General features: G+C 51.0%; 1 protein-coding gene across 10 annotated transcripts in view, besides 2 other annotated features; it reads right to left on the bottom strand.

Annotated features, from left to right (window-relative positions):
• Positions 1 to 18,337, bottom strand: part of FBLN7 (fibulin 7) — a 106,324-nt gene that overhangs the window by 74,307 nt on the left and 13,680 nt on the right. For 9 of the 10 annotated variants that reach the window (XR_007069507.1, XR_007069508.1, XM_006712260.3 and 6 more), the window contains exons 2-3: positions 10,567 to 10,726; positions 5,231 to 5,401 (exon numbers count right to left, since the gene is read on the bottom strand). Coding sequence is in view for 8 of the 10 variants with exons in the window: in XM_006712260.3 (XP_006712323.1) it covers positions 5,231 to 5,401; positions 10,567 to 10,726 (331 nt within the window). In the remaining 2 variants the exon portion in view is untranslated. Of the gene's footprint in view, positions 1 to 5,230; positions 5,402 to 10,566; positions 10,727 to 17,143; positions 17,397 to 18,337 lie in introns of those variants that run through there. The other variant, XM_011510587.3, reaches the window with a different exon arrangement.
• Positions 1,585 to 2,098: an enhancer, noted in NCBI's record as "NANOG hESC enhancer chr2:112925881-112926394 (GRCh37/hg19 assembly coordinates)". NCBI's record gives its function as "activates a minimal SCP1, AML or CMV promoter by ChIP-STARR-seq in primed H9 embryonic stem cells {active_cell/tissue: H9 hESC(primed)}" and the evidence as "EXISTENCE:reporter gene assay evidence [ECO:0000049][PMID:30033119]".
• Positions 13,035 to 13,864: an enhancer, noted in NCBI's record as "H3K4me1 hESC enhancer chr2:112914115-112914944 (GRCh37/hg19 assembly coordinates)". NCBI's record gives its function as "activates a minimal SCP1, AML or CMV promoter by ChIP-STARR-seq in naive H9 embryonic stem cells {active_cell/tissue: H9 hESC(naive)}" and the evidence as "EXISTENCE:reporter gene assay evidence [ECO:0000049][PMID:30033119]".

The raw sequence follows: 18,337 nt of genomic DNA, 5'->3' as shown, positions 1-18,337 counted from the left end.
GCGCATGCCACCATGCCCGGCTAATTTTTGTATTTTTAGTACAGATGAGGTTTTGCCAAGTTGGCCAGGCTGGTCTCGAACTCCTGACCTCAAGTGATCCACTCACCTTTTCTTTTTCTTTTCTTTTCTTTTCTGTTTTTGTTTTGTTTTGTTTTGTTTGAGATGGAGTTTTGCTCTTGTCACCCAGGCTGGAGTGCAATGGTGCGATCTCAGCTCACTGCAATCTCCGCCTCCCGGGTTCAAGCGATTCTTCTGCCTCAGCCTCCCAAGTAGCTGAGATTACAGGCGCCTGCCACCACACCCAGCTAACTTTTTACATTTTTATTAGAGACGGGGTTTCACCATGTTGGCCAGGCTAGTCTCGAACTCCTGACCTCAAGTCATCCATCCACCTCGGCCTCCCAAAGTGCTAGGATTACAGGCATGAACCACCGCGCCTGGCCCCTTCTTCCTTTTCTTAAAACAGTGTCTGCCCTGTGCTGCCCAACTACCTGCTCTTTGCCTGGCTAGATCCCATTCCTCCTTTCATCTCAGTGTCATTGTCCCCTGCTCAGAGGCCCTCAACTGCTCCTTGCCCCGTGCTGTTTACTCTGTCCCTTGTTAGGTCATGTGTGGCCCTCACCACAAACGTCAGCTCGCTTCCCTTGGTGTGTGGCTGCCTGCTTTGCTTTGCCTCCCCTCTTAGCCTGTGCACCCCAGAGGCCAGGGTCGTGTCTGTGGGATTCGACATTGAGTCCCTGGCATCTGGCACCAGCTTTGTGAATGGCTGGTGCTCAGTAAAAATTGGCTGAATGAAAGAATGAAGGTTAAAAATAAAGGGTGGGGACGACTGACAAAGATTCCTTTCCACCAGCATGACGATAAGTGACAACGGTATTTATATCTCTCAAATTCGTTTCTTTGGTTACCCACGTTGTCAAAGGCACAAGATCTTCAGCTATGGTTACCAATTCAGAAAGCTTTACGTCTTAAAAACATGGCCTTCAGAGAAAGGAGGAGGAAAAAAGGAAAATAAAGGAGAAATGGAGAAAGCCAAGTGGCTGCTTTCCACTCTGGAGTTCTGGAGTCCACCTACGCCTGCTGTTTTTTTGTTTTGTTTTGTTTGTTTTTGTTTGTTTGTTTTTCTCCCGAGACGGAGTCTTGCTGTGTCACCCAGGCTGGAGTGCAGTGGTGTGATTTCGGCTCACTGCAACTTCTGCCTCCCAGGTTCAAGCAATTCTCCCTGCCTCAGCCTCCTGAGTAGCTGGGATTACAGGTGCCCACCACCACGCCTAGCTAATTTTTGTATTTTTTAGTAGAGATGGGGTTTCACCACGTTGGCCAGGCTGGTCTTGAACTCCTGACCTCAGGTGATCTGCTGCCCTGGCCTCACAAAGTGCCGGGATTACAGGCGTGAGCCACCGCTCCTGGCCTGCCTGCTGTTTTTTAATGGCGTAATTGTGTACACACAATTTCCTTCCCTGCCAAGTTGGGTTCATCACTGTCTTTCCAAGCAGCTGACTAGAGTTGGAGTGAGGGACAATTATGACAGCACTGCCAAATTTGTCACTGGCACTGATATTTTGGGCCTTGAAATGAATTCTCTGTAATTAAGAAGATTATGCCCCACCCCCACTCTGTGGTCATAACACATGGCAACCACACGACTGGTGGTTTGGAACATGCAGTGGGTGTGCTCAGTGGTTGCTGGTAAGTTTCTAGGTTTGGTCACTAGATTGTTGAGTTCCAGCCTGTGTCCCGTCCACACCCTTAATACTGTCACAATTGGTCATCAAACAGCAGTCAGGAGCACTATTTCTCCCTCCTGGCAAGTTTGGCTGACACCGCTTTGAGGCTCTTGCTGGAGACAACAACCATGAATCACATCAATTCCTGCTGAGAACAGAAGTGTCGGTGCAGGCAGAGTCTACTCACTTAGGAGGGGCCGTGGCCAGCAGCTGCTGGAGCAGCTTGGTTGTAACACATGAGTATTTTTGTTCAATCACCACCATGGGGTCAATGCCCAGGCCCCATCTATGCTTCAAGAGAAGAAAAATCTCCATCTAAGATCTCATCCTGGACTGGCCATCACCTTGTTCCCTGAGTTAGTCCTTCCCAAGTTTTTGATAGCACATGCTGTCTGAGTAGGCATCCCGAAGGTGGGCTGCATCATGCAGCTCTTTGGTGTGGAAGTCAGGGTAGAAGGAAAAAGGGCTATGCAGGAGGCTATGGGGAGATGAGAGACGAGCACAAGGTGCATCTGGAATGAACTGGTACGTCCAAGGGCAAGACTCGGGAGGATACCACGTTGGACCACGGGAAAGGTCAGTAGGCTTGCTGGACGCCTGGCAGGTGGGACCGTCTGCTCTGCACCATGGTCCTCCAGGCAAAGTCCGCCCTCCACATCTCAAGAAAGGGAAGTCTGCTCAGCAGGGCTGTGGGCTCTGATCTTTGTAAGAGTTGGCTTGGCCTTCCCAAAACATCAGGGCAAGTAGCAGTGAACATAACATAACATAACATAACATAACATAACATAACATAACATAACATAACGTGTCTTTCCTGGACAGAGATGACACACATACATCTGTCTACTGTTTTGCCTGTGGCTGGCAGTCATTCTGACTGGTTTGGGCCCAAAATGCATTAGCACTTCAAAATTTTCAATATATTTTCTGCTTCTGGCAATAGCAAGAACGAACCAAGTGGTGCTTCTCAAAATTTAGTTAACAGCAGTATTACTTAGGGAACATATTAAAAATGCAGATGTTTTGGGTCTCATCTATAAAAGTTCCGACTGGATCGGTCTTTTGAGACCTCAGAATCTATCTTTCATGAGCTTCCTGGGTGACTCTGGAGGACCTGAATGTTTGAGATCATGGCACAAGTTAGGACACGGCAGGACCCTCTTTTCCATTGAGGGGGTCCTGCTGCAGCGAGGCAGGTGCAAATGCATAACTAAAGCAACCAAGGTCAAGAAGGAAGCTCGTGGACACACCCAGGATCCTCTAGAAAGGCATTCTTGGCGAGCCACTAGGATGGAGATGGACTGTGGGGAGCGCTTTGGGTCTCCACCTTTGTCAAGTAACCACATGTTCCTTTGCTTGAGTCACTTCTCACGACTATGTTCCTGGGCCTCCAGTGTTTTGTATCTATCTCCCTAAAAAGGCATTCTTTCTGCTATCATCTCTGATGAACTCATCTTTTCATTTTAATCACATGATGTGCATTGTAGTATGTCGCCATTGAGGACAGAATATTTGGATAATATCTGAGCAAGCAAGAAAAAACAGCACACACATAAGTAAGATGTGCTTTCGCTTGCAGCACCGCTTGGGGGTGCGTGGGCAGGTGCAGCCCTTCTGCTGAGTGGCAGGCAGTGCTCAGTTCAAAGCGAGCCTGAAGCCAGTAGGCCCTCTCCAGCCACAGATACACAGCCCAGAGACAAAGTAGGGCGATAAGAAGGCCTTGTCAACATTGTTTGTGGTGGCCGGGAGTTGACTGCAATCAGGTGCCCATGGCAGGGGGTGGACAGATCAGATGTGGGGGTGCACCCCAGAGAGGACGAGGCAGCTATCAGAGGCACTGGAGCAGACTGCACGTGGCAATGCAAATGGGTCCTGAAAGTGCGGAGTAGACCGAGAAGGAAACCAACCAGGGTCTGTAACTCAATCTGTAAGTTAAAAATACTGACACCCAAAACAATAAAAATGAAATATCTGTGTGTACCCATCTCCCCCGCCATGGGTTATCACCCAGGAGGTGCTTAACCTGGCTTGAGATCTTTCAGAGTCAAGTAAGTAAATACCAGATATTGGCATTTCCCCTGTTTTGTTCGCATGTTACATGACTTTTACTTCCTGACTGGTTCCTAGGTGGGTCTGAGAGCCAGTCATCAACCTTTGAACCATCATCACTCTTTCCAGGGGTCAGGAAAGAGAAGCCTAAATTGTAAATGTGATTCTGGTTTCCCTGAGCTTCTCATGGCAATCCATACTCATCTTTAGGGATGGCATACTTTCTGGAGTTCCTCTATGTTTTCAAGTAATTTAAGCATCCAAAGTCCTCTCTTGGCCAGGTGTGGTGGATCACACCTGTAATCCCAGCACTTTGGGAGGCCGAGGCAGGCAGATAACTTGAAGCCAGGAGTTGGAGACCAGTCTGGCCAACATGGTGAAATCCCTTTTCTACTAAACATACGAAAGTTAGCTGAACGTGGTGGTGGGCACCTGTAGTCCCAGCTACTCAGGAGGCTGAGGCAGGAGAATCGCTGGAACCCGGGAGGCAGAGGTTGCAGTGAGCTGAGATTATGCCACTGCACTCCAGACTGGGCAACGGAGCGAGACTCCGTCTCAAACAAAAACAAAAACAAAAACAAAGTCCTCTCTCTACTCTGCTTTTGCAATCTTCTTGTTTATATAATGTCCGTGTTTCTCCTTCAACTCTTTGGCTAGAATCATGGACATTCTGCCTCAGCAGATGTCCCACGAACCTTGCTCTGAAAATGACTGGTGAATGGTAGCCAAGATTTTTTTGACCATGGGTTTTTGAAAAGCCAACAGATTTTTGTGCCAAGGCTGATTTTCCTCTATATCAAAAAAGTGCTGTTTTTAAACCTAGCACAGAGAGAAGCCTTCTCATGCCTCCCCGACACAGTGGACTCTCCTGGAGCCTCTTGATACCAAGTCCCAATGCAGACAGAAAGGACACCTGAGGAGTTTCCTCAGCCCCAGAGGTTACCAGCAGCCTCACAGACAGACTGCAGGCCCAGAACGGAGCAGCCACAGCAGCATCATCCTGCAGTACCTTCCTCTGGTCCCTTTCCCCAACCCATGAGCAGCTTCTTGCCCTCACATTGATAAGAACAAGTCACTGGTGTCCAGAGCAGAGAGTGGTGTGAAGGAGCGCAGACTCTGGGGTCAGAGTGTCCAGGTGCCAAGCATCTTAACTGTGCCGCCCACCCCCTAGCTGTGTAACCTTAGGCAAGTTCTTGAACCTCTGTGTGCCTCAGTTTCCCCATATGCAAAACAAGACTAAATTATTGTGAAGATATAGTGAGCTCATACAGATAGAGACCAGCGCCAACCTGGCATGGAGGTGAGTGATCAGGCACATTGGCTGCTGTTCTGTGGTTGAGGAATGATTAAAGAACCAAGCAGAAAATGTTCCAAGGAATGACCCTTTCTATGCAAGAAACCCTTGCTATACTGTGATGGGTCCAGCGCAGTGGGATGGGAAGGAGAGACGATACCTCTACAGTGGGGCTGCTCCCCTGTCCAGGTGCCATTGGGAAGACACACCACGCTGCTGGGCCCGACCAGCCGGAACCCAGGGTTGCAGGTAAAATGGACTTCGTGATCCACTAAGTACTTGCTTCCAAACTTTCTGCCGTCTGCGGGGGTGTTCAGAGCCGGGCAGGAAACTGTAAGGAGAGATGGAAGGATTACGAGCTCCTCATCCTGGACCACAGCCCTTAGACATTACTGAATTACAGGACTTCCCATCTCGAAGTGCCCTCTGTTGCATGCCTGCTGCAGGCTGTGCACTGTGCTGGTCATTCTGCATGCTGCGTCTCATCAAGTCCTCAAAGCTCTCTTGGGGATGGGTGGTACGATGCCTGCTTAGCAAAAGGTGATGAGACTGGGGCTCAGAGACACTAAGTGCTGTGTGCAAGGCCTCGAAGCGTGGGAGGCCCACCCTGCAATGATCCGCTTCATCACTGCCACCTACTCACTCTGATTTTCTGGGGCTCCAGCCCCCCTGGGTTTCTTTAGGTCTCCTGAACAGGCCGGGCTCAGCCCCAGCTCCAGGCCTGGGATTTTGCTCTTCTCTCTGCCTGGAATGTTCTTTCCTCAGAGCTTCCACAACTGGCTCCTTCTCACTCTCCAGGTTTCCACTCATATGCCACCACCTCCCCGCGTGTTCCCTGGCCACCGTGCCTAACCCAGACCTCCCCAGACACTCTTCCCCAGGTGCTCACTCTGCTGTCTTCTCAGTATCTGTAACCATCCGAACTTTCTTATTGACTTGCCTCTTTCTAGATATGCGGTCAGTCCTCTCCATCAGAATGCATCTGGCCTATGTTCCTGTGTATCCCCAGCACCAGCCCACTGCCTGGCACATAGTGAATACTGGATAAATCATAAATCATTCTTGAACAAATGAATGAATGGAGCCTTATTTATTGCATCTTTACTATGTGCCAGGCACTATATTAGGGACTTAGGCAGGCACTATATTAGGGACTTGGGCTATATCCATGAACAAAATAGACAAAACCCAACCCTCAGGAAGCCCACCATCTAGCAGGGGAGATAATAAGCAATGGCGAAGTGTGGGGCCATGTAGAAAATGAAAGCAGGGAATGATGCTGGAGATGCTGGAGAGAGGGCATCATTTTGAATACAGTGGTCAGGGCAGGCCTCACCAGAACGAGTTGAAGGTGAAGGCACAGCCAGACAGATGTCTGGGGAGGGCAGAGGGACAGCTGGTCAAACATCCTGAGGTGGGGATGTGCCTGGCAGGTCTGAGGAATGTCAAGGAGGCAACAGGACTGGAATAGAGTGGACGAGGTGGAAAGTAGTTAGACATGAGTCAGGCAACAGGATCAAGACAGCTCAGAGTTACACGGGGCATTGGAAAGAAAACAAAAAGGCCATGCAACTTGTTCTCCGTGTGAGACCGGGCCTCTGGAGGTCTCTCTCAGCAGCACTCCTGCTGCGGTTTGATTGTGAAGTGCCCGTACAAGAGGAAGGGGAGGGAAGCTCAGGCCAGGGTAGTAGCTGAGCATGAGGGACATGGTTCGAATCCTGGCTGCTCTGTGAAGATTTCCCGAAGGACTGATGTGGTTGGAGAGAGACGGGGTGAAGCTAGCCTGTTCCTCTTCTTTTTGCAACAGAGCATCACGCATGGGCGACGAGGGAATGCCCAAAGTTAGGATGGCTTGGATTTGGATTCAGTTTAGATGGAAATTCAGAGCCACTTCTAAAATGCATTTAAGGTAAATTCCAAGTGTCATTTGCCATGTTCATATTTTAAACAGGCACAAACAGAACTGTTGCTTCAACTGTGCAGGTCAAAGCAAGTGACAGAGTCACTGAGCATCCCCCATGAGGATGCACTGATCAGGGGTGTCCTGGACCAGAGGCCATTAAGGAGCGTGATGGGCCTCCCTGTCCAGGAGTGCAGCTGGCAGGATGGTGTAGCCCTGCCCAAAATCCCACCTGGGCCGGACACAACCTAGGGTTCTTTGAGGAGCAGCCGTGGCAGCCTGAGCTGGGGCGGAGGGAGGTGCCGGACCCTCCGAGGATGCTCGGTGGCCTTTGGTGATTGGGGAATATCTGCCCATTGCTGCATCGCCTTCCTTGAGTAAAGCTCCAAGTTGGCCCCCAGTGGTAATAACCTTGTGAGTAGCAAGCGAGTGAGAGCTCACATCCCAGGACTCGGCTGCTCCCGGGGTTCTGCCTCAGCCTCTGAAATAAATTACTTTATAGTTCTTTTTTTTTACATCTAGTACTTTATTGCGTTAAAGAGTTTTAAAATGCATTGGGGGAAAATAGTAGGGTCTCTTTGGGGATGAAAAATCTTTAAAAACCTCGACAAAAGAAAACTACCTGCAACTCACAAATACACCATACCTGAATAGATTGAACAGTATCTGGCACTTAATAGATGCTTAATAAATGTGAATGGAGTGGATTAATGGATACAAATTAATTAAAAATCAATTTGTAGTCACATCCCAAATGGGAGCTGAAGGCCCTTCTCTAGTGACAGAAGGGGAACGTGTCCTTTGGTTGATTCTGTTGGCGAGAAGCACATCCTACTGAGTGTGCAGAGCCACAGCGAAGCTCCCTGCGCCTTCCGAGGTGAAGTTAGCATGTAAGGAGTGAGACCCACAGTTAAGCAGTCTCAGCAACATGGGGACATGAATCCGCTGAGGCTGCTCTGGATGAACCCTGAAGCTGATGGGTTGTGATGATGCACCCAGGAAACAGGAGGGAGGTACTTCATATGGAAGCCAGAGAGGAAGACCAAGAATTCTCCAGAACTGGAAATTATTCTTCCTGACTCCCAGCAAATTCCCTTAAAAAAAAAAAAAAAAGGCAAAACAGGCCTGGCACAGGAGCACCCGCCTGTAATCCCAGCACTTTGCGAAGCTGAGGCTGGAGGATCGCTTGAGCCTGGGAGTTCAAGATCAGCTTGGGCAACATAGTGAGACCCCATCTTTACAAAATTTTCAAAATCAGGTGCAGTGGTGTGCACCTGTAATCCTAGCTACCTAGGAGGCTGAGGTGAGAGGATCGCTTGAGCCTGGGAGGCTGCAGTGAACTAGGATCACTCCACTGCTCTCCAGCCTGGGTGACAGAGCGAGACCTTGTCTCTCTTTTAAAAAGCAATAAGGTAGTTTTCCCACTATGTGCCATTTGATCTGGGCAGGTGTCTGGCTTTCCTCCAGGTGCGGGCCCAACCCCCACCACACCCTGAAAAGGGATCCTGACAGCTGCCTGTCCTCTGCAGGGCTGTCACAGGATCAGCCTCTGCACGCATAAAGTACCCAGCACGGGGTCCCCCACACACTTAGAAATACAATACATGATGGCGATTTTTTAAAAAGAGAATTTGGCACTTTAAAAAATGTTGTACATTTCAGAGATGAAAGCCCCTGAATCTTGGGAAGGAGGATGAATAATGTAATAATAACTGCCTTTCTATCTGTCTAGCGGGCAGGGCCCTCTCACATGGGCAGGGCCCTCTCACATGGGCAGGGGAATTGTATAACATTCCCTGTGGGCTCCACTGAAACTCCCAGGGACCGCAGGCAGCTCTGACCCCATGAAAACAAGGAAGGCTTTGTGGAGTCAGGCCTTGACCGCTAACTTACTTGTCTTGGCCTCAGTTTCCCCATCTGAGGCAGGAAGGAAAGACACCCTGCCTGCACCATGGAGTTGGGGTGTGTGGAGCCCCAGTGAGGGCTTGGGCCTCACAGTGCCTTGGAAAGTGTGAGGCTTGGCTGGTGGTTATTTCTGCAGCTGTGGAGCCAAGGAAAACAGGAACGGACTCAGTGCCGTTGAGAGCTGGATTTGCCACCATCATCTCCGAGAAGGTAGGAAATCCAACGCCTTCCCCAGGAAACTTCAACTCACTCAACAAAGACAGCCCTTGATAAATGTGTCTGCAGTGAGTAAATGATGTCAGATATTCCACAGGCTCCTGACTTTGAATGAACATGATGACTGGCCCCTGTCCCCCAGCACCCTAAGACACCGGAGGAAAACCAGCCGCCCATCTCTGGGTCTTGGCGGTGTGAAAGCTGTTACAGGGCAAGCATGAAAAAGTGCCCTTGTGTCTGTCAGAGTCCTGCCCTCATGGGAGGGAGTCTGGGGTGTCGGCTGTAGCCTCATCAGACAAGTGGAACTTGTCCTCAGCAGCCCTTCCCTCCCAACCGTCCTGGTACTAACGGGGACTCCCTGGAGGGTGCACTTTCACGCCTGAAGCACTGGAGCCAACCTTGGTCATGGACTGGAACCAGTGTATTGCACTGGCTCGGGCTGAGTGTGTGTGTGTGTGTGTGCGCGTGTGCGTGCGTGTATGCGTGCTTGTGTGTGCGTGTGTGTGCGTGCGTGTGTGCGTGTGCGTGCGTGTGCGTCTGCGTGTGCGTGCGTGTGTGCGTGCGCGTGTGTGCGTGTGCGTGCGTGTGCGCGTGCTTGTGTGTGTGCGTGCGTGTGTGCGTGTGCGTGCGTCTGCGTGTGCGTGTGCGTGCGCGTGTGCGTGCGCGTGTGTGTGCACGCACAGAGGGTGTGGAGGAACGCAGTGCTTTCCACTCAACTCTGCTATGAACTTAAAACTGCTCTAAAAAATTATCTTAAAGTAAAATCAAAAATGAAAACAAAACCAAAACTGGATCCAACTTGTGGACGGGGAAGGGAAAAGCAGTGCGTGATCTAAAAGTGGCGCCTTGCAACAGTTTGGTCCGTATGAAGACGTGATAGTTGTTAAGGCCAGAATGAAAAGGCTGAAGAAGAAAAGGGGTGACATTGAGGCTGAGGGAGAAGAAAGGGGGCAGCTGCCTTTCTAATGTGCTCCCCCCACCCCCACTGCCACCAACCAGGCTTACAAATGGGCCACAGATTGGCCCGGCGCGGTGGCCCACGCCTGTCATCCCAGCACTTTGGGAGGCCGAGGCGGGCGGATCACGAGGTCAGGAGATCGAGACCATCCTGGCTAACAAGGTGAAACCCCGTCTCTACTAAAAATACAAAAAATTAGCCGGGCGTGGTGGCGGGCGCCTGTAGTCCCAGCTACGCGGGAGGCTGAGGCAGGAGAATGGCGTGAACCCGGGAGGCGGAGCTTGCAGTGAGCCGAGATCGCGCCACTGCACTCCAGCCTGGGCGACAGAGCGAGACTCCGTCTCAAAAAAATAAATAAATAAATAAATAATAAATAAAAAAGGGGGGGCCACAGTTGGAAGATGGAAGGTGATGGGGGAAGGGTGAGGGGTGACGAGGGGCCTCCAGCTGGGAGCGTCTCGGGGAGAGTGCTCGAGTGCTGCGCTGCCGCCCCAGCGGTGCCGACGTGGGGACCCACCTGGAAGGGCATCTGGGCCCACCCTGCCCACAGAGTTCTGCAGCGCGGCCAGCCGGCTCTTCATGTGGCGGATGCCCTCGGCGAAGCGTGTCTCCTGGCCCTTCAGCAGCTGCTGCAGCTGGCGGATGGCCGAGAGGAGCTGCTGTTTGCTGAGACAGTTCTGCGGAGAGAAGACATCGCCGCCACCACCCATTGAGACTGACTCAGTCCCACATGCTTGTCTGAGCTTCCGAAATCGCCGAAGCCACGGGGTCCAAACCGCGTTTGAAGCTCACTCAACGCAACGTAAAAGTGACCTGCCGCTGGACAGCCCCAAGTACATGCATGGTAGCCCCAGTTCACCCCTTGACAAAAACAAAATGCAGGCAGGACGGATGACTCTAAATGACCGGGTGGATGAACAGTTATTTGAACCCAAAGAGCCTTATAATCACCACGCTGCCACTCTGAGAGATTCTCTCTAATTCTTCACTCTAAGTTAATGCTCTGAAAACCCTGGGCCTTGGCAAACATTTTCTTTCTGTCACTCTTAGACATTTTTAAAAGCAAAGGGCCAATAATACATGTAAAACAGGCAAAACAGGAATGCCCAATGGTTCCTATTCTTTAAAGACATATAACATGGGAAATAAGAAAAAAAAAAACTCACTAGAGTTAAAGAGGCATTCAATAAAAGTCAATGTTCAGTTCTGATGATTTTTTTTTTAAGCCATAGAAAGGCAGAAAATGGAGGATCATGCTTATCATGATAAAGGCTACCTAACTTAAAGCAGCATCAAGCATCATACTTTTTGTTTGCTTGTTCAAACAACAGAAACTTATTTCCTCACAGTTCCGGGGCTAGAAGTCCAAGATCAAGGCATCGGCAGTGTTAGTTTCTGGTGATGTCTTCTAGATGGCAGATGGCCACTCCCCGGAGGTGCCAGCATTCTACTTAATGCTAAAATTCTCAAGGTTTCCTGGCCGGGTACGGTGGCTCATGCCTGTAATCCCAGCACTTTGGGTGGTCAAGGTGGGTGGATTGCTTGAGGCCAGAAGTTCGAGACCAGCCTGTGCAATATAGTGAGACCTCATCTTTACAAAAAATTTAAAAATTCAGCCAGGCTCGGTGGTTCATGCCTGTAATCCTAGCACTTTGGGAGGCTGAGCCGAGCGGATCATGTGAGGTCAGAAGTTCGAAACCAGCGTGGCCAACATGGTGAAACCCAGTCTCAACTACAAATATTTTTAAAATTAGCCGGGCATGGTGGCAGGTGCCTGTAATCCCAGCTACTCGGGAGGCTGAGGCAGGAGAATCGCTTGAACCTGGGAGGCAGAGGTTGCAGTGAGCCGAGACTGCACCACTGCACTCCAGGCTGGGCAACAGAGCAAGACTCTGTCTCAAAATAATAAATAAAATAAAATAAAATAATTAAAAACAAAAAAATTAGCCGAGCCCGGTGATGTATGCCTGTAGTGCCAGCTACTTGGAAGGCTGAGGTGGGATGATTGCCTGAGCCTGGGAGGGAGGTTGCAGTGAGCTGCAATCACATCACTGCACTCCAGCCTGGATAACATTGAAACCCTATCTCAAAAACAACAACAACAACAAAACCAAACTAAATATTTCCAATCTCAACTGCCTTTAAGAACCAGGACAGGCTGGGCACGGTGGCTCACGCCTGTAATCCCAGCACTTTGGGAGGCCGAGGCGGGCGGATCACAAGGTCAGGAGATCGAGACCATCCTGGCTAACACGGTGAAACCCCATCTCTACTAAAAATACAAAAAATTATCCGGGTGAGGTGGCGGGTGCCTGTAGTCCCACCTACTCAGGAGGCTGAGGCAGGAGAATGGCGTGAACCCCGGGGGGCAGAGCCTGCAGTGAGCCGAGATCGCGCCACTGCACTCCAACCTGGGCGACAGCGAGACTCCGTCTCAAAAAAAAAAAAAAGAACCAAAGAACCAGGACAGGCTGGGTGCGGTGGCTCACGCCTGTAATCCTAGCACTTTGGGATCACTTGCATCCAGGAGTTCAAGACCACCCTGGGCAACAGACTGAGACCCTGTCTCTACAAAAAATAAAAAATTAGCTGGGCATGGTGGTGCTCGCCTGTAGGCAGGAAGATCACTTGAGCCTGGGAGGTTGAGGCTGCAGTGAGTCATGATTGCACAACTGTACTCAGCTTTGGTGACAGAGTGAGACCCTGCCTCAAAAAAATTAATTACCTAATTAAGAAAAAGAGCCAGGACATGAAAAATAGTAAAGGAGGGGTGAATCAAGTGGGGAGGGATGGGACCTCGGCCTTGTGGAGCAAGCAGGTCTCTACTAAGGCCATTCACATTCACTGGGGGCTGTGTGTTACAACAGCACAGCCTGGACTCTGCTGCCTGCACAGGAGACAGGAGACACATCAAGACGATGATGGTTATCTTTAGGGATAGGCTTATGGATTATGTTTTAATTTAATTTAATTTTTTTTTAATGAGATAGAGTCTCACTCTATCACCCAGGCTGGAGTGCAATGGCACAATCTCAACTCGCTGCAACCTCCACCTCCCGGGTTCAAGTGATTCTCATGCCTCAGCCTCCCTAGTAGCTGGGATTACAGGTGCCCACCGCCATGCCCCGCTAATTTTTGTATTTTTAGTAGAGACGGGGCTTCGCCATGTTGCCCAGGCTGGTCTCGAACTCCTGACTTCAGGTGATCTGCCTGCCTTGGCCTCCCAAAGCGCTGGGATTACAGGTGTGAGCCACCGCACCCAGTCTTAATTTTATTTTTTCTACTTAATTTTTTTTCTACTGAGTATTGGTTTTATAATTCAAAAAAACTCTCTAAAATACAGTGGAACAGTAAAGTGGCAGGGAGGTGTGTGGCCCCCACAGCCAGGGTGGCTTCCAGCCTCACCAACGAAGCACCACAACCACAACCACCACCACCACCGCGGTGGGAATGGAGCCACTGCCGCTCTCCCAGGGAGGCTGCCAGGCCTCTGCACCGTGGAGATTTCACCAAACAGATGACTCACTGGCCAGACTGAATGGATGCTTTTGACACAGTTGAATCCCCAGTTGCCCCTGGAATTCGTTAATCCCGGGGGCTCCTGGGCCTCCACCATACCCAGGGCCTGACCAGGCACAGCCCCAAACGCAATTGCTCGGAAGAGAAGTTTGGTTTGTTTTCCTTCCTCCTCCCACGTTGTGGTCCCTCCCACGCAGGTCCTGGGGCACTCAGGAGCGACCTCCTGCAACCCCGTACCTGCCCAGCACCGTGCAGCCCTGCCACCCAAACCTGATTTCCCACACCCACGTCCCCTTCCTTAAAAAAGGGGGGCTCTGCTTTTATAGATGACTTCATGGTTTATATGTCAATTGCATTTGTGTACTTCAGTCTACAAAGAGCTTCTTCGCTGTAACAAAGAATAGTTCAGCTACTGGCCGGCAGCAACCCCGTGGAGAAACGGGGCTTGTCTCCATTTCATAGAGAAAGATATGGAGGCTGAAAGTCAAACACCTTCCCCCAAATCATGGGGCTTAGGAGCAGTAGAGCCAGGCCAGGAAGTCTGACTCCCACCCAGCCCCGCCGGCCACCCCAATGGACTGCCTCCTTTGTTCTCACAGGCTCCTGTGTGGTGAATGATCTTATTGATGAATTTGCACTAGGGATTGATAGGACTGAGCCCAAATGCCCCACAGTAGATTTCTCACTCCCGTGCAAAGTTCAGGTTGGGCACCTGGGCAGCGGGGGCAGGAAGCGTGAAGGGAAGGTGGAGGAGACGTCCTTGCCCACATCCAGCCAGGCGAACAGCTGCCTCCTGCGCTACGAGCTGGCCAGGCCCTGACAGCTGAAAGTGGGTTCGCGGAGCCGCAGCTGCCCCGGGTACATGGAGGGCTCAGTTTTGAAGCCGGGAGAAATCTGTGCCAAAGGCTGCGCTGGGAAGGGCAAGCATACTGCCAGGAACCTGGGGTGATGGCCTGGGGCTCCAGGAAGTAAAGGAAGCAGGGGAGTGTGTGTGGAGGGACAGGGTCTTGTCTTCTACTTGGCCGCTGGGCAGCCAAGTATTTCTAACCCCAGTGCTGCTGGCTCCAGGCACAACTGCCCTCTGCTTCCGGTGCCACTTCCTGCTCCGTGGGCAACAGGCGCCAGCTGCTTTCTCCCCGGTGCTCATTGAGGGTGAGATGTGCCCAGCTTGCCAGTTACCACGGAAAAACCTTAAACATCTTCAAGACCAAGCAAACCAAGGCTGCATCTCCGTCCCAGGCGGGGAGGGAGACAGGAAGGCTCCAGGCTGACTTGCCGAGGGAAGGTGAGGAGGCTGTGGCCCATCCCAGCCTCCAACCTCTCTGGGGTGAGGCTGATGAAACAGAGCGTGGTACAAGGAAGCATCTTGCTGCTCTCGGCAAGCCAGCATGCCGGGGCTGGGGCCAGGGAGCCCGAGAAGCAGAGAGTATCCGTGCCTTTGACATGAGGTTTGAGGGTCTGAGCTGCAGCTGCTCCTAACAGGGCAGGTCCTGGATGCCATGCTCATCTGTCACCTGAGTTGGTATAGGCACAGGCATCACCGAGCTCCTTTGCAAAGCTAGATGATGAAGCTGGAATCCTTACATACCAAGACATGCACCCATGAGACCCACATTATGGGGACAAATGAGGTCATGTGAGGGGCCTGAGACCCCAGTGCCCCCTTTTTCCAAGCTGAGAAAGCTTTATCATTTTGCTTGATCATAAAAAGAAAGCATAATCTCTGCAAAACAATTCAAAATACAGAAAAATGCATTCAAACAAAGAACAAGTCCCACAACCAGAGACAACCACTGTTAACTTTTCGTTGGGTTTCAAGTCTTGGGTTAGACACAGGTGCTCCCTTGCACAGACGTCACCATGCAGCCCCACAGGATGCAGGCTCTATGTCAGCTCTTTCCCCTCAACACTGGCTGTGGCATCATTTTCATGTTAACGAGCAGAGCAACCGGCCTGTCTCTGAGTCTCAATTCTCATTCCTCAATGCACTCTTTTCAGTCTGGGCAGGGGGCTCCTTGCCCACAGCCACAGTTGTCTGCCATTCCCCTCCCAAACCCACCACCCTCCCCTGCTCTGAGCCATGCATGGAAGCAGGCCATTTCCTTCCATGCACATGTGGTCCTTGCTGAGGTCAGGCCAAGGGTGCTGTGAGGGGCTATGGGATGGACAGGAAGCCGGCCGGACCCTCAAGGGCTGTCCACCTGCTGCTCAGTGAAGGGCTGGCTTTTGGGTGAGGCTTTCCCATCTCAGGGTTCCAGGTCCCAACAGTGAAAAGCAACCCCAGGCTCCGCACAGCCCTCGAAGCTGACCTCCCACTCTCCAAGGTGGGAGTGGGTGAAGGTCAGATCCAGACAGGGCAGCAAGGGGAGGCCCCTGCACACCAGGAAGGACAGAGCGTGTTCCAGAGGCCGTCCCCTCGAAGCTGAGGAAGCTGCCATGTCTGGGTCCTCACTTTCCCAGGCCTCTTCCAGGGCTCTTGAGGCGCCCCGTTTTAAATCTTTTTCTTAGAGAGATCCCCTCAAATGGTATAAATTTTCATCCCTTCAAAACCAGTCGTGGCCCAACTTATGTCATTGACAATAAATAATGACGAATAGTTTCCATTTCTTTGAATTAATAACTTCTTTGAAATGGAACTAAGAGGAGACATGCAGTGAAACCTTCCATCTTTGAGTAGAAAAATATCAAGGTTTACCGTTTCTGTTATGAAACTCTTTAAAGGGGTGAGTACTTCATCTAACTTGACACCAATGGCAATGTTTGCAGAGAACCAGTTAGAGAAGGAACAACAGATGTCACCCCATCCAGGTTTTTCCAAGCTGGAGTAGAGGTGGCATGGATGGTTCTGGAAGACGCAGACCAGTGCTGAGAGCTGGGCGAGGGGAGGAGCTGGTTTTAAGGCTCTTGGAAGCAAGAAGGCCCATGGAACGCTCCATCCACCCCTGCCCTTCTCCGGGAATTCTTGTCCATCTCCCCTCCAGCCCCTTCTCGCACAGTGTTTACTCCGGCGGGTCCACGGAAGATTCCTCAGAGATCACCAGGCTCCCTTCCTCTGAGAACCAACTACCACTTGCAGGATGGCTGGGCCTCCAGAGACATTTCGTACCCCCAGACCCTACCTCCTGGTCCAAGGGTGGACACAGCCAAAGATGGGTGTGTGTCCCCCGGCTCACCCGGTCCCCTGCCAGCAGGCCTGACCCCTCTCATCCCATCCAGGCCCCCATGCTGTTTGGGCTCACTCCGAACCTGCTCTGAAGGCAACAGAGGGTACAGAGAAGCTTCAGGAGTATGTACGGAAACATGGGGACTGGTCCCTGGGGCTTCTGTTCTCCTGTAACCTGGCTCGATGGTCTTCCTCACAGTGACAGTCTTGGTACAGTGACACCTTTTGAGAGCCTCTTTGGTGACAATAGAGCTCCAAGACCTCCGATGGCCACGGATGACCCCTAGACTTGGAGGGGCCGTCTCCCACGCTGGTTTCTCCCAAGCCACAGCTATGCGTCACGTCAGCATTTTGTTAATGGGAACACAGATGTTTTGATGCCTTAGGTCTCTGAAAGGACCGAGCAACTTACCAAATGTGAGCCTGCTGGCCAAGGCTCGGAGTCTTCAGCGTCTGAGTCATGTCGAATTCGTGAATGTGCTCTCTACAGAACTTATTTTTATTTTTCAACTGAGCCAGAGGCGGGTTATAAATCCTCGACTACTCTTCATGCCAGAGACCTCTGCTCAGCACCCACATATATGAGGAGAGAAAGTGGGTGCTTCTGGAGGAAGTGAGAGAATTTCACTTGGGGAGTTGCCTGAGGCCTTTGGATTAGTCAGAACTCTCTACAGAAACAGAAGCAATAAGAAAGAGATATATATTATATATACACACACATGCATACGTATACATATGTAATATTGTAATATATAACATACTTATTAATATATGGAGAGAGAAAGAGAGATTTTAAGGGATTGTCACGCAGTTGTGGGGGCTGGCAAGTCCAATTTTAAGGAATTTTAAGGAACTGTCGAGCAGTTATGGGGGCTGGCAAGTCCAACCTCCGCAGGGCAGGAGCAGGCTGGAGACCCAGGGCCAGTTGCAGGTGATGCTGCAGCTCAAGGTCAAAGGCAGAAGGCAGTGTGGAGGCCCAACTCCCTCCTCAGGGGACCTCAGTCTTTTGCATGAGGGCCACCCACACTAGGAGGCGAATCGGCTTTTCTCAAAGGCTGCTGATTTAAATGCTAGTCGTATCTAAACAATCGCTTCTCAGCAACATCTGGACTGGTGTTTGAGCAAATATCTGGAAACCATGTCTTAACTAAATTGACACATAAAATTAACCACCCCAGCCCTCCAGCTGGAGCCTCCCTTTGGGGCTCTGCACCCCAGGATGCTCAGGGTACTTTGAGTTTGAACCCTGCTGGCTGCCTGTAACTCTACATTTACACTCCATGCGCAATTCCAGTCTGGTTTTTAAAACAGCCACAGGAGCGATGACAAAAACAGCGGGTGCCCAGAGCCGGCACTGCGGCCACACTTCACACAGGAACCCATGACAGCGCAGGACGTGGCACCATTACAACACCCACTTGGCAGGGGCGGAAGCCGCATAGGTCTCTGAGCCACGGTGGCCTATCCAGGATTTAAAACCCAGTGTGCCTTCTCCAGCCGCTGGTGTGACAAGATGGCCGGACTCACCTTAGAGAGGGGTGCACAGAGAACCTTCGTGAGTCCTGCCTCATTCATCCTCTCACTTCACAGCATCCCCTTGAAAGTA

Source organism: Homo sapiens, chromosome 2, assembly GCF_000001405.40.
Source record: "Homo sapiens chromosome 2, GRCh38.p14 Primary Assembly".
NCBI classification, from domain to species: Eukaryota; Metazoa; Chordata; class Mammalia; order Primates; family Hominidae; genus Homo; species Homo sapiens.
This window is presented reverse-complemented; position numbering and strand designations above follow the sequence as displayed.